A 24,460-nucleotide genomic window follows, 5' to 3' on the forward strand; every position below is an offset into this window, starting at 1 on the left:
AGTGAAAGGGCCAATCAGGGACAATCTCAGAGTATCAAAAGGCTTATTCTCAGACTTGGTCCAGGAGTGACAGGGTCTGGCATCAGTGGGGTTACTCAGGTGTGGCATGCAGACTGGACTATGGGCAGCTGCTGGGTACAGGGAGAAATGGAGGTGAGAGATGAGGGTGCTCAAACCCAGGGTATGACCTCCCAGAGAGCAGGGGTGCTGTCCAGTCAATCCCTCTCATAGCCCCAGTGTTTCTTGGCACCTGAGAAACATGTTGGTTAACTTTTCTCCCATGAGGCGCTCCCTGTCTTTCCCTGCGTGTCTGCTGGGCTGCTGGCCCCTCAGGTTGCTTTGTAGGAGACACTCATGTACGCAGGGTGTTTCCCTAGTTGACATGTCTGAGGACGTCTTTCGTTGTGGGGAGTCACGCAGGGATTGACTGGACAGCGCCCCTGCTCTCTGGGAGGTCATACCGTGGGTTTGAGCACCCTCATCTCTCACCTCCATTTCTCCCTGTACCCAGCAGCTGCCCTTAGTCCAGTGTGCATGCCACACCTGAGTAACCCCACTGATGCCAGACCCTGTCACTCCTGCACGAAGTCTGAGAATAAGCCTTCCGATACTCTACGAGATTCTCCCTGATTGGCCCTTTCACTTTTCCTTCCACCTCCCCACAACTCCAACTAGCCTTCAGGCTGCTCAGTGGCACCAGGCAGGCACACTCCTGCCTGCCTCTGCAAGAAAGGTGCTCCAGCTGACTGACCAACCCCCCTCACCACCTCCATCATTTTCTCCAGAGGCCGTGCTTTCTGCCCTCCTGTTCTTGGTCTCAAACCTTATTTTTGCGTATGGTGTCAGGTCTGTTTACATCACACCAACTTGTAACACCATCTGCGTGGCTTTCAATTTTCAAGTGTTTTTTTTGTTCACTTGTCCTGTGGACTCATGCCATGCCACCGTAGTGCTGAGTGACGCTTAAAGGGTGCTTTTCTTATTAATCTTATAGAATTAATTTCTGCTTTCATTGAGAAGTATGGGTTATTACTCTTATGTTCTCAAAGTGATGGTTGGAGTGGTTAAATCGCTTTGTCGCCATGACACATCCCAGATGTTGCTGAGTCTGAAATGCAACCTAGGGTCTTCCAATTGTGAGGTTGGTTTCATGGCGTCACACCCCACCTCACTAAAGCTGGCAAGAAATCCGAGGTCCTGTGGGGCCAGCGGGCATTGGTCTGCTATAGACGAGCTAGACCAGGACAGACCACTTGGACTTCACTCACCTGGTTGAGTATACCAGTCGTAATTGTAGGCACTGGCAATATAGTACAGAAGATGACACTTCAGATGGCTACAGATGCTGTGAAGAAACTCCAAGGAACTCTTAGGCGAAGGCCAAAAGCACAAGGAGGAGTTAGGGCATGGCAGGCAGTCCCCGTGTTGCCAGAGGAAGTGACGATGGGATTACAGCTGTGGGAAACATTTGCATTTGATTCTGAACACAGTGGGAAGCTATGGAAGGGTTTGGGGTCTGAGGAAGGGTCAAGGCAAGAAGGGACGGTGTCTGGGTTTAGGAGACACAGCAGAGACAGAAGTGGAAGCAGTAGTCATGTGTCTGGAGGCAGAAGCCAAAGGCCAGTGGGTCTTGGATTTTGTTTGGAATGTGAATAAAGAAAAATTAAGGCACCCCCAGAGTTCTGGTTTGAGCATTGGAGTCAACAGTTGCCCCCTTTACTAAAGTACAGAAGCCCAGAGGAGGAACAGAAGTTTGATGGTGGAAAAAATTGAATTTTTTTTTTTTGAGATAGGGTCTCCGTCTGTCTCCTCACCTTGAGTGTAGTGGCATGATCTCGGCTCACTACAGCCTCTGCCGCTCAGGCTCAGTCTTCCCACTTCTGCCTCATGAGTAGCTGGACAACAGGTACACACCACATCTGGCTAATTTACCCCCCCCCCGCCCCAAGATGAGGTCTTGCTATGTGGCCCAGGCTGGCCTCAGAGTCTGCCAGGCTCAAGCCATCTAGCTGCCTCAACCTCCGAAAGTGCTGAGATTAGACACAGGAGTCACTGCCCCTGGTCACAATTTCCATTTTGGCTATGTTCAAGGTAGATATACTGACTCCAGGGCTCCAGAGGGAAAGGCTGACATACGAATTTGGGAAGCTTTACCATTTGGATCTATGGAAAGATAAGTGGGGAGTGCAGGCAGAAGAGACCTGGGACCCTGTACAATTTAGTGGCAAAGTCACCTTCAGAGAGATGGGAAGAACCTCAGAAGAGGGTGGAGATGCTGAATGGTTGAGGGCTTGCGAATAGAAACAAGCCACCTTTGGCTTTTGAGACTGAGTTTGGCATGATGTTGGCTCACTGCAACCTCCTCCTCCTGGGTTCAAGCAATTCTCCTGCTTCAGCCTCTTAAGTAGCTGGGATTACAGGAACACACCACCTCTCCCAACTAATTTTTGCATTTTCAGTAGAGACAGCATTTCACTATGTTGGCTAGGCTGATCTTGAACTCCTGACCTCAAATGACCCATTCTCCTTGGCATCCCAGAATGCTGGGATTGCAGGTGTGAGCCACTACACCCAGCCCAAAAAATCTTTTTGATGAGTGGCAGTGCAGTAGGCTCGTTTGATACCAGCATCACCTCAGATGCAGGAGTAGTGCACTGCATTGTGATGTCACTAAGCAACAGATATTTTTCAGCTCCATCACGATCTTACAGGATCACTATCATATCTGCAGTCTGTTGTTCACCAAAACATCATCAATGTGACATGACCATAGCCATTCCAGCGAGTGGAGGAGGGCCTCTGCAGGCAACTGGAGGATTCTCAAGTCGTCAGGGCAGGCAGGCTGCTATTTTCATTCACCGCTTGCCCTGTCTTCCTGTGGGTCTTCTGCTTAAGATTTTAGCCACGGTTGGTTGGGCTGGGTGCTGCAGTGGGGAGAGCACTGTGAGGTAATTGGCCGGGATTACAACAGAGACATGATTGTGCTCTGAACATCCCATGCAAAGTGGGGACGGGGCAACTGAGAATTAGAAGACCAGCAGCATTCAGGGATAATCCTTTCCATCCTTAGCAAGTTAGGCGTAATGCATCTCAGTTTTTAATAATTACGGTTTACTCCAGCAGAACCATCACAGAGCCTCTCTTCAGCCCCCCCAGTAGATGGTATCTGAGGTCTTCTGAAATGTCAGGCTGAGCCAGCTCTGAAACGCGAGATGGCCCCTGGTCACCTCAAGTGGCTATCAACAAAGAGACAAAGAGGCCCCCTCAGCATCACAGCCATTGGTAACCATCGGAATTTTACATAGAGTGATATGTTAGCCTTGAAGTGGTGAAAGCTGACATCTAGAAAGCATTGGTAGACTTCTGTATGAACTTAATGCCATCCTTTAAAGTTAAGCACAGTGCATCTTTAGTTTTTAATGAGCACTGTTTACCCCAGGGATGCACACACCCCACAGTGCCATGCCTCTCAGTACCCCGTCCATGGTGGATCCATACACCTGTCACTCTCTGCCACAGCTGCTCACACAGTGCAGGCCCCGAGCTTAAAAGAAACCTATTCTCCATCCCACCCAATCCTGCTGGTCCTTGTGGCTGGGATTTGAATCCACCCCCATCCCGTTTCTACGGGGGGCTGCACAAGCCTCACCACTAGGCTGTCCCAGGCCCATTGGGTGATCATCCCGCATTGTACAACCTGAAGCAGTTTATCTGCCTGATAAGGGCTCCCTAGGGGCAGGGCCACAGTCACCAAGAGCCACAAGAGGGCCACAGGCAGCCCATTTGCAGAAAATGTGCCTGAGTTTGCTTCAGGGCCTGAAAGCATTGTCTTGTTTAATCTCATAGGTGGGTTGATATCGGCCCCATGTTTCAGGTAACAGAGGGATTCAGAGACTTTAAAGAAATTTACACAGTTATGGGGGAGAGAGACAAAAGACTCCTTTTAAGTAAATTCACACATCGTAACTGCAATGTAGAGGTCTACCGCTGTGTCCCCGTGCTCCTTAGTCTAGGATGAGTAGTAGTCAAATCAGGCTTGGATCCCTCTTCTGGTCCCCAACCCCTGGCCCAGTACCAGTCCATAGCCTGTTAGGTACTGGGCTACACAGTGGGTGAGCAGCGCTTCGTCTGTATTTACAGCCACTCCCCATCACTCGCATCACCGCCTGAGCTCTGCCTGTCAGATCAGCAGCAGCACTGCATTCTGAAAGGCATGCAAACCCTATTGTGAACTGCCCATGTGAGGGATCTAGGCTGCATGCTACTTACGAGAATCTCATGCCTGATGATCTCTCACCCTCTCCCATCGCCCCCTGAAGGGACCATCTAGTTGCAGGAAAACAAGCTCAGGGCTCCCAATGATTCTACATTATGGTGAGTTGTGTAATTTTTTCCATGTAGTAATAATAGAATGTACAAATGTAACACACTTTGTATCTCAAAAGCATCCCCACCCCCTACATCTGTGGAAAATTTTTCTTATACATAACTCATCCCTGGTGCCAAAAAGGTTGGGGACTGCTGCCACGTGACCTTGCACATGGCCCTGTATCCAAATGTAAGCCACATTCTGCTTCTCTACCATGGGCCTGGGGCAGTAACTTCTCGAGCTTCCCATCTCCCATGGTGAGAACACCAAGAAATAGATGAAATAGTGATGCCCAGCCTGACAGCAGTCACTCTGAAAGCATTACACAGCACCTTCGTCCTTACTATCTTCCAGGCCATTTCCATCATCATCTCTGGCATTCTAATGCCAGACTGCTTTGATTTAAAATACCAGATTTCAGAGGCTGAGGCAGGAGAATGGCATGAATGCAGGAGGTGGAGCTTGCAGTGAGTCGAGATTACATCACTGCACTCCAGCCTGGGCAACAGAGCAAGACTCCACCACGAAAAAAAGATTTTGCAAGCAACTTCACTTACATTTTGGAAGACTTAGTATGACAAATACACAAAGAAAAATGACTAGAAAACTATGTAACTACTGTCCTAACAGTGGTTATCCACAAAGGATGAGTTGACAAGCTATTCTAGTTCTGTGTTCCCCTCCCCCCCCCAACAAACAGTAAAGCCTTTCTCACTTTTTTTTAATTCACCATTTAACTTGTGCTTGTAGAAGAGCAACTACACAGCCAGAGCTTGCAGAAGAAAAGCCTGAAGCTTAAAAATATCAGGAACACAGCAGCAATGTCACAGTGTTATTGAAAGCACACTCAAAATGTCATGAAAAAATAATGCTGGGTTTACCGAAGGGGGATTTACATTCATCTGGTGACAGGTTGTGCGCTCAGTATTTTGAGTTCTTTAATCCCCAAAAGCCACAGTGTCTGTCCTGTAGGCATCCATGTCCCCAGCCCCGAGTCTTTTGGGTTCTTGCCTGGGAGTCACACTTACCTCCTGCTTTTCTGGGCACGCCTGTCCTGCCCTCCACCTTCCAAGACCATTTCTATTTCTGGTTGAAACGTTGCTCAGTGTGATTCCTTGGGGTCTGTCCATCTGTACCTCTCATAAAGCAGCAAGCAACAGCTGCCTTGTCACATCCCCACCTTGTGCCACCACCTAACTAGCATCTTGGGGGCTGGGCTTGGATGCATTTATATCTAGTCATCGACTCTGGGCTCAGAGTGCACACATTCAACATCAAAACCAACCTCTGCTCCTGATTAGCCATAGGATTTACCCTCTGTGCTTTATTTTCCATGCCCTTAAGATTAGGATGGTAATTACAGCACCCATTTCACATGGCCGGCTTAAGGATGTTATGAGAATTGGTGTTAGTCCTTTAGTTCAAGATTTGACAAGCAGTGGCTTTTTTAATCCTTTTAAAATAAAGTACCTCGTGGTGTTGGGATCCGGAGAACCAGACCCAGACCTGCCTTCAAGGAACCCTTGGGTACTGCCAGAGCCATTTCTGGATCAGTTGTGGATGGTGGAAGTCTTGGAGACCCATTTCAAACCAAGAGGTAGGAGGTAAAGGCCTTGATGGATGTCAGCATAGTTCACAGTGGAATTAGATTTCACGGGGCACCCATCACGCAGTCCTGAGGCCCAGGTGTTGCCTAGGAATGAATTCAAAGGCTATTCAGCCTGGCATGCTCTGATACTGCCCATCAGGACCCCCGCAGCCATGCAGTACAGAAGGCAGAGCAAGGCCACTCCCTCCCACTCCACAGATCCAAGGGGCTAAGACACAGGGAGAACATTCTCCATGATCTTCACATCCTGGAGGCAGAACTGGGTTTTCAAAGTGGTGAGACTCACAGACTTATGAGGGAGCTAGGTCGTGGAAGATGCTGGCCACATCCCCGCCACACACACAGATCAGTCCTAGCTGGGTTGCAGGGATCCAGCCCTCTAAGCTTCAAAGGCAGCTCCTAGTAAGTGGAGTATTGACCGGCTCGCCAGACCCAGATCACAGGTGAAACAAAGTGAAAAGTTAGTCTCTCCTCGCAGCCATTTTCACTGATGAGCAGTTGAGGCTGTCCGATTAATGTCAGCCGCATGCTGGTGACAGGACACAACGCAGTGTACCCCAAGAGGCTTATTAAAAAGAACAGCCACTCCTGGGGCCCTCTGAGGGTGCCCTCACACACAGACCCCCTTTTCCCCAACTCCCCAGTGCTGTGTTAAGTTGCTAGCAGCAGGGAGGATGGAGATGGAGTTTCTGAAATGAACACCAAAGCACATGTCAGGACCACGCGTGGCCTGGCAGGGGGCTCATTACCGCAGCTTACATCCTTCTCCCTGCAGGGGAGGGGAGGCAGTGCCCTGGGGACTTATGGGCTGTCTCCTAGGTGACCGTGGCATCCCAGGAGTTCCTTCTCCAGTTGCCTTCCAGGTGAGCTTAGAGCCAGGTGCATCCCTGGGGGCATGATGTCCCCAGAGTGTCTACCAGCTTGGTGACAATGGACCCTGCAACCCAGGAGGCCTGGCCCCTCATGGATTTAGGGATGGAATCATCTGTGCCGTTTTCCTTCCCGTGTTTTCTGCCCAGTAGTTTGAACCGCATTTCTAAGGCCGTTCACTCTCCTGTGTGACCCCAAAATGGCTCTGGCAATACCAGGTCTGTGGAGTAAGATTGAGGTCTGACCTGAGCATAGGGTTCACAGAGGAGTGAACCCTGCTGGAGGTGGCCAAGTTCAGAAGTGAAGGGCGAGGGCATTCACTAAGCAGCATCCCCATGGGCCACGCTCTATCCCAGCATCAAACGTTATCGTTGGCTTTGTCCCAAGAACCTGCAGGGCAGATTCTGTGATTTCCCCCTTTATTTTTGCTTGCACCATTTTTTAAAACAGCTCAAGAGACAGATCACATACCATACAATTTACCCACTTAAAGTGCACACAGCTTGCTAGTTTGACTTTGATCCCCCTTCATAGGCTAGGAACTCGAGTCCTAGAAAGGAGCATCGTGAGCAGCCCAAGTACACCTGCTGGTGAATGACACAGCCAGGAGTCATCTAAGACACTGTCCCCGTGGTCCCTAGTTTTTACCCAGAGACGGGGACAAAGGTCGCTGGCTCTTGAGAGCTACAGGCTATCAGGGTCTTCCCTGAGGGGCTGTTTTATGTCGGGAAAGTCTAGATTTACAGGCACTGCCTTCTTTGGAGTCGAGATTGAAGCCTACCGTGGTACTGTTTCTCGCTTTTATGGCATAGTTCCTTGAGTTTTCACAAAGGCTTGGAGTCCTTTAGCCATCACCATCAAGATGTGGAACAACTCCTTTCCCCCCAAATTTCCTAGCATTCCCCTATAGGCAACCCGACAGCTCCCGGTCTGTGCTTTGTCATTTCTAGTTTTGGGAATTTGACGATGTGCTTGAGATTCGTCCATGTTGCCAAAAACCTGCATAGTAAGAAGCAAACATTCACCCAACACAAGGGGTGAGGGCTGATGCGTAAGAAAAACTGCTTCAATGCGCCTTTCAAACCGTGTTTACATCATTGCAAGGGCCAAGGTCACCTCGAAATGTAGGTACTGGAAGAGAAATCCAGAATGTTACATAGAAGACGCACGCTAACAACAGAGCCTAGGAAAGGTCGCCACACGTCCTCATCCCAGCTCCAGGGGGGGCAACTCTGGGCTCAGGGATGTCACTTCCCACAGTCAACATGCTGGGATTGAGGCTCATACCCTGAAAGTGGCCTCCCCATCATCACTGACCCCGCCCAGGTAGCAGAGGAACGTCGGGTTCTGGATCCACAGCTCGGAAAGTCTGCTTTGTGACTGGAGAGAGTCACCGTCGAGGAGTGGCCATTATCCTGAGCCTGTCTTTTATCGCCACGTTGATATTTTACCCGTAACCATGAAAATAGATGGCGACTGGATTTTGTTCCTTGCGGTATGTCCTTTGCAGGTAAATTTAGGAAACCTAATAGGGTAAAAGGCTCAAGGAATAGGGCTATTAAAACGGGGAGACTCCTCCCCGCATGTGAAAAATTGAGTTGTCTCCCACCACTACCTGAGGGGTCTACCCCACCCCTTTGGGTGGTGGCTTAGGCCTCCATGTCTGTATCACCACATCTCACAGACGAGACTGTCCTGGCCCCAGAAGGTAGGAACTGAGTCTTTTCAATTCCCCGAGAGCCCATGATGGGGTCTGGCCTCATGTAAGAGGAACATGAGGAAAGCCAGAGATGGCACTGTCATTCTTTACCCAACAGCCACAACTTCTCCACCCTTGTCTGCCGACCTGTCTGAAGACTGCAACACCCACCCATTTGCTGCTTTTTATTTATTCAGGCTGCCTGTAAATATCCCTGCTGAATAGCCATCTCTCCCCATCTCTAGCCCCTTGGGCCTCTGCCGTCTCTGGAGCAGGCAGCCGAAGACCTACAATACCTAGACGCTGATCTTGTTCAAGAAAGACGAGGAAGGGCTTTTCAGATAAGGTTCCCTCTGCCCCTGCAGCACCCTCTTCCCCCAGGGTAGGGAGTTGAGGAGTTGCACCGGTAAAAGGTTGTGGTTTGGCAACGATGCTGTATTTTGGGAGTTTGTAATATCTTTGTAAAATCCTCCTTGATTGGGTGTGGTGGATCGTGCCTATAATCCCAGCACTTGGGAGGCCTGAGGTAGAGGATTGCTTGAGTTCAGGAGTTTGAGACCGTCCTGGGCACCATAGGGAGACCCCCACATCTCTAAGAGAAAAAAATCTCTACTCAGTTCCTTTGGTATATTAGATGCCTCTACCAGTAAAAGTTCCTATGAAGTTGCTGGCTAGACTTCACTAGTGTCTCTTACCTTATTTCAGTCATTTCAGGATGTCAAAGGAGCCAAATCTATTTCTAATCACCACCAACTGCATAAATATGCATCAATGATGTATGATTGGCACTATTATCCTCATTTCACAGATCAGAAAGCTGTGTTTTGGGGAGGTTATGGATCTTTCTCCAAGGTCTAGAGTGTCTTAACAGAAGGAACTCAAGTTTTCTGACTCTGAATATGGAGTTAAGGCCTTTGGCAACCCATTCTTATGGATTGCCATCCAGACGCCCCTTTTTCTTGTTTGTGAAACTGTAACAGACCTAGTCCCAGCATTAACAGAGTCCCTGCTGGGGAGCAGGAATGGAACATATCTTGTCCACACATTCCTCTGTTGCTTAGGCCCCAGAGCTGCAAGCCCACTTTGTTATAAAAATGCAGTTGTGCCTAACAACTGTCTGCTTCTTGGTGATTGGCTTTATGATTGCAGCCAGCTAAGAAATGGTGTTGTCATTCCAGAAGTCTCGGTGGTACACAACGCTGAAGTCGGCAGCTAACAAGGGCTATGAGAGATGAGAATTTCACTCTGAGGATCCTGTGGGGAGGAGGCATCTGCAGCAGGGACTGGAGGGAACCTTGGTGTTAAAAAAAAAAAAAAAAAGGCTGTCATTGTAAATGTGAGGCGTTTCAGCTTCCGACTACAGCCCATGTCTCTACTGTTGGACGCCAGTCCTGGGATGAGCCTGGCACTGGCTTCATTCCCCTGTAGCAAAGGGGCCCAGTGGGGACACATGGGGTCGTCTTCTCTTCTGAGTACTGGCCCTAGTCTCTTATCCACATTAGCCCCCACTTCCTTTGCCAGTTTACATACTCCCAGTCCTACCCAACCCCCCACCTTCAGATTCTGCTATTCAGCCAGACAGCATTACCAGTATTAGGCTGTTCTCAATCTATAAAGATGGCAGTTGCAAGAGGTTCAGCCTCACATACGCCAGCAGCCACCAGCACTCTCCATTCAAGTCCACTGTGCTCAGCAGTCTGGGTTTTCCATCTGTCACGCACTCACTGAAGCCCCTGGTCTAGCCAGATTTCCGCAGGTGTCATCCACTCAACTTGTCCCAAATGAAGCCCATCCTCCCGTGGCCTCACCTGCCCCCTCCTCATCCTGGGTTCTCTCAAACCATCACAGCACCCCTGCCTCCAAGCCTGTGTCCCGAGACATGGCTCTGCTCCACATGGCCTCGAGGATTGAACCATCCCTGTGTCACAGAAGCCTACTGTCACACCCTCAACCACAGCAGCCTACACTCACTGGGACTTCCCAGGTGCCAGGCACAGACATGTGACACATATAGCCTCGTGACAGCTCAGTGCACGTCCCGAGCTAACCCTGCCTTCCAGGAAGGGGAAGCAGCTGGGCCGGGTCTGCCCGGCTACAAGTCCACCCCCTCCCCATGGGCCTGCCACCTTCACCTTTTTTCATTTTCACATCTAGAGGGCCCTTTACACAGCAACCCTCAGCTCACTTCTGGTCACCCTCCACACCTCTGCCTCCTCCGGGAAGCCCTCTGTGCCCTGCTCAGAACAACCTGAGTTCCCTCTCATTGGGGCATCCACCGTGATCCACCACAGCCATCTGTCCAGTGTCTGCCCTCCCCATCCTCAATGACACTGTGGCTTTCCAAACCTGAGACCACTTCTGCACCCCTTCATGCCCAGCCCAGCATGGTGGTGACACAGGTCATGTGTTTGAATGTTCACTGTTGCCCATTGTCTCTCTAGGCACTTGATCCCCATGATGCTTAAAACCACCCCACCTTTATTCTGTCCAAGGCTCAGAGGGCAGGCATTTGCCTACAGAAACACAGCTAGTTGGTGGCTTTAGGTAGCCCTTGAATCCTTACCACCACAGTACTAGGATATGCTTATGGTTGTCATCCCCAAATGACAGACAAGGAAACCAAGGGTCAGACAGCACTGCCCACAGCAGGACTGGACAGAGACACGTGCCTCCAAGCTATGTCCTCTCCCTACCCCTTCATAACAGTCACCCCACCGACTGCTACCTCTCCTCTCCCAACCAACAAGGCACTGGCCTCTCCCAGGCACTCTCAGAGCCTGTTACCTCCAGGGCCTCTCCCCCCAAGCTCTGGTCATTGCAGGGCAGGGCTCATCCTGGCTGTGCTGAATGATGATGGTGGTTGCAGGCTAAGTGGCTGCTCAGACCCCGCATCTGAAGAGCATGACAGGAGGGGGTTGTGAGGGCATGGCTTTAAACTGACTTTTACATCCAAGCCTTCCTGTATCTAAGAATCAGTTCCCCTACACTGCAAGCAAAGACCTCCTTCCAGCATCTTTGAACCATCCTCTAAGGAGCATTCAGGGATAAAGAGGCTCTTCGTAAGTGGGGTCCCCCATCCTTTGAAGAGAGGATCATGTTTGCTTTGGGCCTGCAGCCAGACACCCACCTAAAGGAGGAAAGCACAGCACACGCCAGGCTGGTTGGGCTCAGAGATGATTCAGAGCAGCTCCGGCTTTGTTCAAGGTCAAATGTTTCTTTTTCATCCATGCACAGAAGGCAAAGCAACAACTTGACTTACAGGAAAAGACAATCATTAAAAGGGGTCTTCATTTTGTTAGCTTATCAGGGTGTCAAACTTGAAACGAGGGATCTCACTCGCACAGTGGCCATGTCCCTGGAAAGGTGCAACGCAAAGTAGATCATTGTGAAGAGATTCACTCCTGAGATACATGAAGATGCTAGGCTGTTTCAGGGAACCCTGCAGGGATCCTCGAGGGGAATGATTTCTTTATGAATGCAAGTCTCTTAACTCACATGATTTGTGAAACTGGGCTTGGATACAGCTGGGGGTGGATGTTCCTGATCTGACATTCTCACTTGGCATCTTTGGTCCTTTCTAAACCACAGATAAGGCAGAGCTAGCTGTGGACACAGTCCTGTCTTCCCTTGTAGGGTCCAGTGGATCCAGGACTTACATCCAGCAAGCCACAGCAGCACAGAGGTGCTGCGGACGCAGGAGTGGACATGGATCCTGTTAGGTTTTTGCCTTGTTTTAAAACATTTTATCCCAGTGAGGTATTTACTTCCTATTCAAATAGCGTATAGTAGGCAGAGTAAGAACATTCCTAGCCCCAGAATTTATGTGTCCCCTTATCTAGCAAAAGGGACTTTACAGATGTGATTAAGGATTGGCCAGGCACAGTGGCTCACACCTGTAATCCCAGCACTTTAGGAGGCTGAGCAAGAGGATCACTTGAGACCAGCCTGGACAAGAGCAAGACCCCATCTCTACAAAAAATTACACTCAGGTATGGTGGCTAGTACCTATAGTCCCAGCTGCTCAGGAGGCTGAGGTGAGAGGATCACTTGAGCCCAGGAGATCGAGGCTGCAGCAAGTTATCATTACACGATTGCACTGTAAAACCTGGGCAAGAGTCGAGACTGTCTCCAGAAAATACAATTTTGAAAAAATGCAACCACATCACAGGACTTCCTGCTGAGCACCCTCTGCTCTCACGGTGAAGCCTCCCAGCCTCTACCCTATCCCCTAAAAAATGTGCCGAGGGCCTCCCACACAACCCAGACCCATGCCCTGGGACCCACACACGCTGTGTGTTCGCGTTGCTTCAGAACCAGGATCAGTGTCCCCCTCTTGGTGTTATCTTCCACTGTTCCTGGCTCTTAAACACAATACCATGCCAAACAACCTTTTAACTAGCCCCTAGCCTAGGGCCTGATTATTTTCTTAGGATTAATTCCACAGGAAGTCCGTCTCCTGTGTTTTGCTACGCATCTTGTGTGGCTTTATGTAGTGTTCTCCAAAGTTGCCTTGGACTTAGAAGCGTACCTTTGCTGGAAAATCAAGGAAAATGTGGGGAAGAAAGCTGTGCCTAGAACATTCTTTCATAGCCTTAAAATGTAGACCGGAACGGTGGTACCATGAGCTAGCTCAGACTCACAGCCAAGCTTGGTTGGAGCCTCGGAGTGCTGTTAAAAAAAAAAAAATGGAAAGGTTTACGTGACAATAGGGGTTTCTCATTTCTTCAGGTGGCACCAGTTAGAGGCAGATCCAATGAGCCAGTCACAGTTGCCAATCAGATCCCTCCTGCCCTCACACCTGGCTCCCCTTCCTGGCCTGTGGTCATTTGCTTTTCATCCCCAGACTTAACCCGATTCTCTCCCTGCTCTTTCAGCGACATCACCCCGCCCGGAGAGCCTGTGAACAGCCGGCCCAAAGCAGCTTCCCGCTTCCCCAAACTGTCCCGGGGTCAGCCCCGGGAGACCCGCAACGTGGAGCCCCAGAGCGGTGACCTCTGACCTCGACAAAACCGCAGCCACGGGCCCTGTGCGTGGCACCAGCTGCGTCCACCCCAGCCACTGCCGCTGGCCCCTCACCTCAGCGTGACAACCACGTCCACCTGGTGATCCTGAGAGCACACGATTCCCAACAGTTACACAACACCCCGATTAAACTAATCAGTCTTCGAGCCGCATGATACCGTGACCCGAGAGACCAAGGCAGCACCTCGCTGGAGAGACTGGGACACACAGTCCTTCTGCTTCTGGGGTCTACCCTGGGCTGCAAGGGCTGTTCCTCCACCTTTCTGTAGTTCAGGGCTGGCAGGAGGGTGGGCACCAGGTCAGGCTGGGTGCGCCATGGTTGAGAGGCAAAGGTGATCCCCTATATAGGAAGGTTCATGCAGAGCCAGCCTCTCCACTCTTTCCCACGTGGGGACTAGAATGACTATTAGCCTCTCCTTTTGCTTTTTAAGGTTATTACCTGGCCTAACCTAGGGATGGCTGGCTTTGCGGGGGGGGGGGGGGGGGGGGGCATGGTTCCTTTCACTGCATTTTCCACCAACAGTCATTAGACACCTGGCACTGTCACAGCTCACTTTTCCAGAGGGATATTCCTGTGGCTTTGGCAAGGAGCCATTAGTGATGTGCAACTTGAGTTCAGAGAACTTCCCCTACCTCCCCCATGGCTGGCTTCAGGAAGGACCAGTGCCCTCCATAGCCTGAGGCCACCTAGGCCCTCGCCAGGCTTGGAGTGGGGGGACTCAGACATCTGGCCCAGCCATCAGCAGCAACCTAGTAACCCGGCGTCATCCAGCGTGTCCAAAGTAGCATTGGCCCTACAGTCATGAGAGACTTGGGTCAGGGAACCACTGCAGAAGGTTCCAGGGTTTTCAAACCAGGCTCCATGACTATGAAGTTGGACCCAGTGTGGACACTTAACAGATCATGTGTCTCTCCACTAAAAACATTTTCCATCCCGTCTGCCCCCGACATTGTCCTTGATAACAGAACTCTGCATCCCCTAAGACAGAGTCCTCTGTTCCTCCCATGTCAGGTGGCTCTCAGAGTACAGGGACCTTGGCAGGTGGAGAGGAGGATGGGGACCAGCAGCTGGGCAGCCCCCAGGGCTCCTCCTCCAGTGAGCTCACATCAGAGCACCTCACAGAGCAATAGCCGTCCTCAGATGCTCAGCAAAGTTGTGGCAGTTTGCATTTCTAGGGTAAACTAACTAGGAAGGATGTCGTGAAATGGACTATGCAAGAGTAAGTTTGTGTGTTTCGCCTTAATCTGAGGCAGAGACACAGCAGAACCTGAGGAGAAAAGCAGGTGGAAGGTGACGGTTAGATGGTAAGCCATGGGCTTGTCCTGGAACTGCTTCAACTCAGTGGCTTAAAATGAGAACTGCCCAGGTGAGCATGGAGCATCTCCTAGGCTCGAGGACATCTCTGGAGAATCATCTGGAAGGTTTATACTGTGCCTTCCCCTCGTAGCAAAAAGGAAGATTGTTCATGGCCTTTAAGGAAGGCTGAGATCACTCACACACAGCGCCCCCCCACCCCAGAGAAACCGAGTCAGCCTACATGACTTCCAAGGGGACCTGGGGCCAGATAAGCCCTGCCCCGGTGAGACCAAATGAGCTGGAGCATGTATGGAGGTGCGGACCCTGCAGTCAGTTTGCGAGTGTGGAGGACCCGAGACATCCTGTAAAGGCAACTTGGTCTCCCTCCCACTCACCTGCCAACATTGCTGCAATACACATGGTTTATCTGAAATTCCAAGGCCAGAGTGCACATCAGCTCACATGACTGGCAACTCTAAATAGAGAGCCCTAATGGACTGAGGCAGGAAACGTCTAAAAGCTCAATCTGCTGTATGTCATGACCCCTTAGGTTGGGTTTATGCCACATCGGTCATTTTGAAGTAGGTGTTTGATGCCAGCTCAGAGACTGTCTCAGGAGTGCCTCCCTGGCCTGGGTAGCTACCCTGGAGGTCATCTCCCTGTTCTCTGTTGGATAAAGGAACCTCCCCCATCTGTGACATTCCCTTGGGCCCAGGCTTATGACCTGCACCTTTTCTGACACCTGCCCCCAAAGCACAGGATGTGAATTGGTCTCTCTCCAGATACCCCACGAGGAAGCACCTTGGACATTCTGCACATGATAATAATGCAACAGTCCCCCATTGCTGAGAGATACTAACCCGTGAGAAACAAGTATGCTCTCAGCTGGTATTGAACTGGTGGGAGAAACTGCCTCCTACTTTTATAATACTGAATTATTCACAAAAAACCTGGTCTGCTCTCCAAAATGAGAGCATGTTCCTGGGAGCCACATGGGGACCATCCCCAGCTGCCTGCTCCTGGTACCTCCCCCATGATCATGCACAGACCGTAGAGTCGAGTCATCTCGCAGATCCAGACCATCTCCTCTCATTCTCACTCTAAAAATGCTGGTGGCCCGCACATGACAGCAACTCCCCGAAGCCTTCCCTTTGGAATCCCATAGAATGTTCTGCAATGATTGGGTCCATCTTGCTGCTCAGAAGAATCCCGTCCTGCTCTCTAGTGTGGTGGGATGAACTTCAGGCAACAAACAACTGGCAGGGTTCCCAGTTCCTGGAGTTATGGAGCAGAAACACCCAGGCCTAGCAGAATTGTGGCTGAAACCTGGTGCCCAAATTCCACACCCTGGAAATGTGTCAACTGCCTGTCAGCCTGGATTCAATTCTGAGGGCTAAGCCACGACCTTATCCATGAGTGGCGAAGACACCCCTGAGGAAAGGATTGCTTGCACCTCACATCTGTCTTCTTCTAAGATTACTCGGAGATTTTCAAACAACATCTGAGAACAGAAGCCCCCTCCCCTACTCAGAGAGGAACGAGGGTGGCCCACCTCTCAAGGGCCTTGGATTCCTGGGACCACCCTTTGCTGGGAGGAAGAATCCACACCGAATCCTTCTGTCTTCATGGCCTGCTGTGCTGAAACAGAACAGCAGGTTCCATCTTTCACATCTTTTTTTCTCCCCCAGATGAAAGACGACTCAGGAACGGTAGGGCTGGGCAGAGGTGTCTCTCCTTGAGAGACAACAAAAGCTTCTAAGGGAGGGAGCTTAAAGGCTGCTAGAAACCTAGCCCAACCATCCACTCCTGATCTGAGACAGAACCTTCTCCGCCACTCTTCCTGCAATCAGTGTGAAATTCCAGCTTCTTTGATTCCCACTTAGCAGTATGCTCCAATCACGTTGCTGGCAAGGCATTTTAGAGTTTGGAGCTGAGGTTCAAAGCCCCCTGCATTTCTCTACTGGCAGGCCCTGGTGAAGGAAGACACTTTCAGGGAAGAGGCTCTTACAGTCTATGGTGGTAGCCATCTTCACATCCAGTCACCAGTTGCATCTAGGGAGCTGCTGGCTATAAAAGGGATCATCCAGTGGAGTTGTAAACAAGGGAACCATCTTGCAAGATCTAGGAAGAGGAAGGGGAGGGATGTGGACTGGGTCTGATCACAGCCCTTGGCCCTGCTTCATACTTTGGAGCTTATTAAGATCAATTTTGATAACCATGTAATTTCTTAGAACCATGGCAGGTAGTATTGTGCTTTAAAAACCAGAGGCTCCTGAAAGTCGTTTACACCAGGTGGATTGATACCATGGCTGTAGCTGATGCAACTAACAAGTACTGGGGCCAGTGATCACAATCCAGGTTGGAAACAGGAGTGAAGCCCACCAGCCTGCCTGGTTGATGGACAGCAGGCTCTGCCTTCTGGAGGCGGCTTATATCCCAACAGCCTGAGGCAGGGCTCTGTGGCCCAGGCCGGCAGTGGCTGCCTCTCTTGGTTCTGCATGGTACATTTTGCCAACCCTGAGGACCAGTTCTTGGGGTTCCAGGCCTCGGCCTTCCTGCTCCACGTGCTCAAGCCCCCACAGGGGGCTGCGACACCATCTGGCTCCTCACAGGGAGGTCCAGCCATGTTCTCTGGGCTCCCAGTGAGCCCCCTCCCCTCCGGCTACCCCCAGAATCCATCCTTCATTCCTCCACCAAGCTCCTGTGTGAGCTGCAGCACCCACACGGGGGAAGCCCTGCACTCCAGCAGCATCTTCCAGCCTTGGCACAGAACTGATGGCAAAGGAAGGGCTGGGTTTTCAGCTTCTGGGACCCGAGGAAGACCCCACCTCACTCCTCCTTCCCCAGTACATCAGACTGGTTAGGAGGCATCCCAGAAGGGGCAGCCTCATGCCCAGGTTTCAGCCCTAAAGGTAATGATTGTCTTGACTCTGCCTTGGCATTTCGCTCGGAATCACGGCAGACTTGGAGTGTTTCTTCAAGGCAGGCATCTGCTTATGAGCAAGGTCAAAGATTTTTCAAAATATTGTGCATTAATTCATTAAAGCTACTGTTAAATATTTGCTGTTTTTAGATTGGCGTCCGTGCTAATTCTGCAGTTGTAGCACTGTATATTTTATCTCATTTCTGTGCCAAGAAAGTTCATCTTTATGTTTTTCTAATACACAATCTTGATCTTGTTTCCAAAATAAAGCTTCAGCTCCTTGGTCAATAGAAGTAAGGGTGTAGCCATCCAGGGTCTCCCGGCTCTAGGCAGACCGGATCCCGCAGTTCATCCCATGGTTGTTGAAATGTACCTCGATCAGTCATCTCTGGTATTCCTCACTCTAGCCATGAGCCATTGCCATCTTATGGGCCCGATTTGGGTACTCTGAATTATGTCATGGAGTAGACAGTTACTTCTAAATCCCAGCAACCAAGTTGCGTATCCTTCCTTATAGCTAGTTTCTATAGAGAAGTGAAAAAGAAATCTGGCTTCCTTAATAAGATAGTTGAGCCTATGACATTAAGGAGCAGCGCTGCTGGCGGAAGATTCTAGATTCACTGGTGGTTTAAGAGGCCCAGGGATTTAGTTCTTACTGGTGCGTAAGTGTTTTCCCATCCTAACCGGAAAACCACTCACCCAGGCTTCCCCCACTTCCCCTCAAATTTTCTCAGCTCTGCCGCTGGTCTCCATGAACGGCAAGGGGAACCACCACTCATTCACTGTCAGTGTAGGTAAGACAGAGGATGCCCTTGCAAAAATTGGGACTGAGGACAGTAGCACACGGAATGGTGGATCGTACATTTGCACCCAGAGCTACTAAACGCTCAGTGACCCCAGAGACCATTAATTTCCCGGAGTGAAGGGGATGGGGGTAGAGCTAATTGGAATTTTTATTATCCAGGACTCATCCTAAGAAGAATGTTGGCCTCTCTTCATCCCTGGCTTAGCCGTCAGGTAGAACGCTTACTCACCTGACACCGACTTCTTAGAGAAGCGAGTCTTTTTTGAATGGAGGAGCGATGGTAACCCCACTAGGGGGCGCCCATGATCGGCTCCCAGTGCACCCCCTTAAGGGTAAGCAGGCCACATATCTAGAGTCTGATAGTCTGTGTGTACATAAGGTCTAGAAGTCTGTGGAAACGCCCTGAAACCTGTAGTATTATCTTAACTACCCTCTTATGTTAAGGTTTACATAATAGGATTTTTAAACAAATGTGTTTAATTTTTTAAGATCTCTTGTATTAAAATTTTCTTTTGGAATAAGCTGTGGAAATTTTGTTACAACCTGGTTGAGATCAACCTCTTTACAATGACACAAATTGTGACATTTTATAAATTAGATACTTCAGTGGATGGTCTCTGTCTCAGTTCTTTTTCAACAACTGGAGATTGAGGTGAACTTAATACACGTGGATCAACTGAATTGAAATGGAGCAGAATCTCATTTTGAGTTAATTAGGCAGATTTGGATAAACTGGCAATGCAGCATTAAAATTTCATACAGAAAACACTCCTCATTACAGGTACCTATGTATTCACTTCTAGAAGAAACAATTATTAGGCGGCTACTGTATACCAGGTGCTTGGCATACAGCAGTAAGACAGGTAAGGTGTACTGTTGGAGTCGCACTGGACATGAAGCAGACAGATTTTTAAGAAGTCAACCATCCGGATAATTTCAGACCACAGTAAATATTGCAAGAGTGACAGGAATTAGAAATTCTTGGTCCCAACCAAGAATCTACGTTCAACAGCCTAGGCACTGCTGTCATTGGGGACTGGATGATTCTGTTGTGGGGGGCCGTCCCGTACATTGTAGGATGCCTCCACCTGTTAGAGGCCAGGGGCACCCCTTTAGTTGTAACAGACAGATGTCCAGACATGGCCAGAGGTCCCCTGGGGGGAGGGGGGCCAGTGGAGAGCCATGGGGCTAAGGCCAAGGGGTCCTCTTGGCTAAAGTGGCTTTTTTTTTTGGAGACAGTTTTTTACTCTTGTTGCCCAGGCTGGAGTGCAAAGGTGCCATCTCCGCTCACCACAACCTCCGCCTCCCGGGTTCAAGCAATTCTCCTGCCTCAAGCCTCCTGCGTAGCTGGGATTACATGCATGGGCCAGCACTCCTGGCTAAAGTTTTATGTTTTAGTAGAGACAGGGTTTTTCCATGTTGGTCAGGCTTGTCTCGAACTCAGACCTCAAGTGATCCACCCACCTCAGCTTCCAAAAGTGCTGGGATTACATGTGTGAGCCACCACACCTGGCTGGCTAAAGTGACTTTTAAGCTGAGACCTAAAGGATGAAAAGAAACTCTGCACTGCCCCCACACCTCCCAAATAATTTACACTGGCTTAAGTACTCAGACCCTGCAACAAAATAGGCAACATTTTTAACCCAGTTATGGTAACAGAGAAAAGAAAGGCTCCTGGGATGAGAATCCAGGCATAAAGTCAGTTCCCACCAGGGCCGCATGAAGGGCATTGTTGCAGGTGGCTCTTAAAGCCCGGCTGCGCAAAGGCTGCTGTGGGCTGTCACAGATGGAGGCGATGCGTAACCATTTCTGTCTGGGGGTGGGGGTGATGTGGGCACTATGCCAGGCACCCCACAGCTGCGTTGCCATGGGCATTAAGTCAGGAGGCCGCACTTAGGGGAATGCAGAGGGACGTCAAGGCAGTCTTCAGGCTGCTGCTCCTGTCCTGCACCATCCTAAGTGACCCTCCCAATGCCACCTCCATCAGCGCTGTCCAGCAGAAATACCATGTGAGCCATGTATGCCATTTAAAATTTTCAGCCAGGTGCAATGGCTCAGGCCTGTAATCCCAGCACTTTGGGAGGCCGAAACAGGAGGACAGCTTGAGGCCAGGTATTCAAGACCAGCCTGGGCAGCATAGCAAAACCCTGTCTCTAACAAGGTTTTTTTGTTTTTTTTGTTTTTGTTTTTATTTTTTTTATTTTTTTTTTTTTTTTTGAGACGGAGTCTTGCTCTGTCGCCCAGGCTGGAGTACAGTGGCACCAATCTCAGCTCACTGCAACCTCTGCCTTCTGGGTTCACGCCATTCTCCTGCCTCAGCCTCCCAGGTAGCTGGGACCTACAGGCAAATGCCTCCATGCCTGGCTAATTTTTTTTTTTTTTTTTAAAGTAGAGATGGGGTTTCACCATGTTAGCCAGGATGGTCTGGATTTCCTAAACCTCGTGATCCACCCATCTCGGCCTCGCAAAGTGCTGGGATTACAGCAGTGAGCCACCGTGCCCGGCCCAGTTTTTTTTTTTTTTTTTTTTTTTTTTTTAATTAGCCACATATGGTAGCATGCTCCTGTCTTCCCAGCTACTCAGGAGGCCAGGACAGGTAGATCGCTTGAGCCCAGGAGTTCAAGTCTGCAGTGAGCAGTGATCATAGCACTACATTCCAGCCTGGGCAACAGAGTGAGATCCTGTTTCACAAAAACAAATTCTAGTAGCCCCATTAAAAATATTTTTAAAACGCAGGTGATAATTGTAATAGTTTATTTCATTTAACCCAATACATCCAAGACATTGCCATTTCAACACGCAATCCTTTTGAATCTTACTGATTTATTTTCCATTTTTGGGTACTAAGTCTGCCAAACTGGTGTGTTATTTTATGCACTGCACAGCTCTGCTCAGACGAACTGCATCTCAAGGACTCAGTGTCCTGTATGACTGGTGTCTTCCCGTATTGGGCAACAGAGCTCTGTGGACCCAACTCCCAAACCTATGTCAGCCTCATCTCTGACTGCCTAACCAACACTCCATTTGCATCACTTCATGAGCATCTCAAACCAAACTAAAAGGCATCTTTTGTTTTCTGCCCCAAAAGTGCTCCTACCCGTGACTCCCCAGCTCAGGAAGTAGAGGTTCCATCTCAGCAGCTGTGGAGGCCACCAGTCCTTGCCTCTTCCTGTCCCCTACCTCGTAATTGACCAGGTTCCTATTTATTCACTTCCTTAAGAAACAAGCACCTACTGTATACCAGTTGCCGGGCACACGGCAGTGAGCAAGACAGGTAAGGTGCACTACTGCCCTTGGTTCCACCCCTGAAATAGATCTAGATCCGACTGCTTCCAGCACCCTCCACGCCTCACCACCACCATGGTCAAAGCTGCCATTGCCTCTCATGATGTGGGTGCCACACTGTCCTCCCCAGTCACCCCCCGTGCCATCACACTGCCATTCAGGCTCCTCTCCACGCAGCAACCACTGCGACCTTTAACATTGGTTTGGATCAGTCACTCGACCACAATCCTCCGTAGGACTCCTGCCCTGCTCTGCTCCTGGTGACCTCTGCCGTGGCAGACAGTGCTTTAAAAAGTATTGGCTGGGTGCAGTGGCTCACACCTGCAATCCCAACACTTTTAGAGGCCAAGATGGGTTGGATCAGTTGAGCCCAGGAATTTTGACCAGCCTAGTCAACACAGTAACAATTCCATCTCTACAAAAAAACACAACCACATGTACACACACACACACACACACACACACACACACACACGCCAGGTGTGGTTGCATATGCCTGTGTCTCAGCTCCTCAGGAGACAGATGGGAGGATCGCTTGAGCCTAGGAGGCAGAGGCTGCCATGAGCTGTGATCACACCACTGTATTCTAGCCTGAGCAACAAAGCAAGCCCGTCTCAAAACAAAACCGAACCCTAAAATCTGCTATGAAGGGGCAGGGATGTGGGGGGCTGTCATAGAAACTTGCCCTGAGAGTGGCCTCAAAGCCTGCGCTAATGCCCCACCATCTATAGCTGAGGATTCTGAGGATTCTTTCCGACATGCATGTAAGTGATGGGTAATTGAGGCATCATTGTGTGTGAAGCGGGACCTCTGAGAACCTTGATGACTGACTGACAGGCCGAGGCAGCCTGGATTCTCCACACGGAGTGTTCCTCCTAGAGTCTGCATACATCTGTGACATGCCATCTGTGACAGACCCAACAATGGCCCCAAAGACACCCACACCCAAATCCCCGAAACCTGTGAATGTATGACCTTACAAGGGGCAGGGGGTTGAACAGTGTCCCCCAAAACTCATGCCTGCCTAGAACCTGAGTGTGGCCTTACTTGGACACAGAGGGTCTTTGCAAATGTCATCAAGATGAGGTCACACTGTATTTGAGTGAGTGCCAATCCAGTGACTGGTGTCCCTGCCAGGAGGGGGAAATCTGGACAGAGGGAAAACAGCTTGTGAAGACAGGCAGGGACTGGCGTGTGGCAGCTACAACCCAAGGTGCGTCCAGGAGTGCCGGCAACCATGACAGGCCAGGAGAGGGGCACGGGGCACCCGCCCTCAGAGGCCCCAGGAGGAGCCAGCACTGCCAACACCTGGAATTCAGACCCCTGGCCTTCAGAAGTAGAAATACATTTGTTTGTTTTGAGCCACCATCTTATGGTCACTCATGACAGCACCTCCAGGAAGCAATACACATGGTGCAAGGGCCTTTGCAGATGGGAATAACTGGAGGATCTGCAGATGGGGAGATGCCGCCGATCATCTAAGCAGCCCAGTGGCATCAGAAGAGTCCTTGGAAGAGTCAGGAGAGGAGACGTGATGGTGGAAGGAGAGAGACAAGGGACAGTATGAGACTTGAAGATGCCACCCTGCTAGCTTAGAAGATGGTGGAAGGGCCTTCACAGCTAGGGAATGCAGGCAGCCTCGGGAAACCAGAAAAGGCAGGGAACTAATGCTCCTCCTAGATGTCACCCTTTAAGTGCCAACCCCAGGGCTAACACAGGCATCCAGTGACTCCTCAAAAGCAGCCACCAGTGGTCGGCTGAGGGAGGCAGTGTGGCCAGCATCATAGCAGCAGGTGTTCCACGCCCCCTACCACCCCTGCTCCATGCCAGCCCTACACTGAGCCCTGGGATCCAGAAACAATGAGATAGGCCTGGGGAGGGGCAATTAGGAAAGGTGTTTCAAATACCTACAACAAAGTGCACTATTGGGAGACGTGTGTCATCTGTGATGCTGCTGAGGGCACCTAAAGAATTTATAACAGCAAAGACAAGGAATCAAGCTAGGTTCCCATCAATGGATTGGATAAAAACTATATGGCACGTAGAAAATGTGGTACCACGGAATACTATGCAGCCATAAAAAAACAATCACTTCGTGTGCAGCAACATGAACACAACTAGAGGCTGTTATTCCTAAGAGAATTAATGCAGGAACAGAAAACCAAATACATGTTCTCACAAGTGGAAGCTAAACATCAAGTACACATGGACACAAGCGAACAACAGACAGTGGGGCCTCCTTGTAGGTTGTAAAACCACCTAACGGAGTAGGCTTCTTACCTGGGTGACAAAATAATCCCTACACCAAACCCCCGACACCCAATTTACCCACGTAACAAACCTGCACCTCTCAACCTACAAGTTGAAGGAAAAAAAAGAATTCACAGTTTGAGGTTATCCTAAAGGATTTAGATTACATTTTCTACAGCAAAAACAGGACATAGCATCTCGTCCTAAAAATCATCCTCCTGATGAATGGGTCAACAACACCGGCTCTTTCCACACAAGGGAGGAGTGCTCAGCCTTAAAAATTAAGGCAATGCTGACACATGGATAAGGCTTGAGGACTGGTATGGTTTGG

The 24,460-nt window shown here is 50.0% G+C and overlaps 1 protein-coding gene and 1 long non-coding RNA gene across 15 annotated transcripts in view; one reads left to right on the forward strand and one right to left on the reverse strand.

Annotated features, from left to right (window-relative positions):
- SNX29 (sorting nexin 29) overlaps positions 1-19,203 on the forward strand; it is a 597,554-nt gene extending 578,351 nt beyond the window's left edge. For 5 of the 9 annotated variants that reach the window (NM_032167.5, XM_011522741.4, XM_005255682.5 and 2 more), the window contains one exon: positions 13,422-19,203. In NM_032167.5, the coding sequence (NP_115543.3) occupies positions 13,422-13,545 (124 nt within the window). In that variant the 3' untranslated portion in view covers positions 13,546-19,203. Of the gene's footprint in view, positions 1-5,836; positions 13,220-13,421 lie in introns of those variants that run through there. The other 4 variants (XM_017023874.2, XM_011522738.4, XM_017023873.3 and 1 more) reach the window with 2 other exon arrangements.
- SNX29-AS3 (SNX29 antisense RNA 3) overlaps positions 1-24,460 on the reverse strand; it is an 80,226-nt gene that overhangs the window by 24,168 nt on the left and 31,598 nt on the right. For 4 of the 6 annotated variants that reach the window (XR_007064990.1, XR_007064987.1, XR_007064989.1 and 1 more), the window contains exon 1: positions 1,269-5,837. This is a non-coding gene — a long non-coding RNA (SNX29 antisense RNA 3). The other 2 variants (XR_007064988.1, XR_933080.4) reach the window with 2 other exon arrangements.

Source organism: Homo sapiens, chromosome 16 (genome assembly GCF_000001405.40).
Source record: "Homo sapiens chromosome 16, GRCh38.p14 Primary Assembly".
NCBI classification, from domain to species: Eukaryota; Metazoa; Chordata; class Mammalia; order Primates; family Hominidae; genus Homo; species Homo sapiens.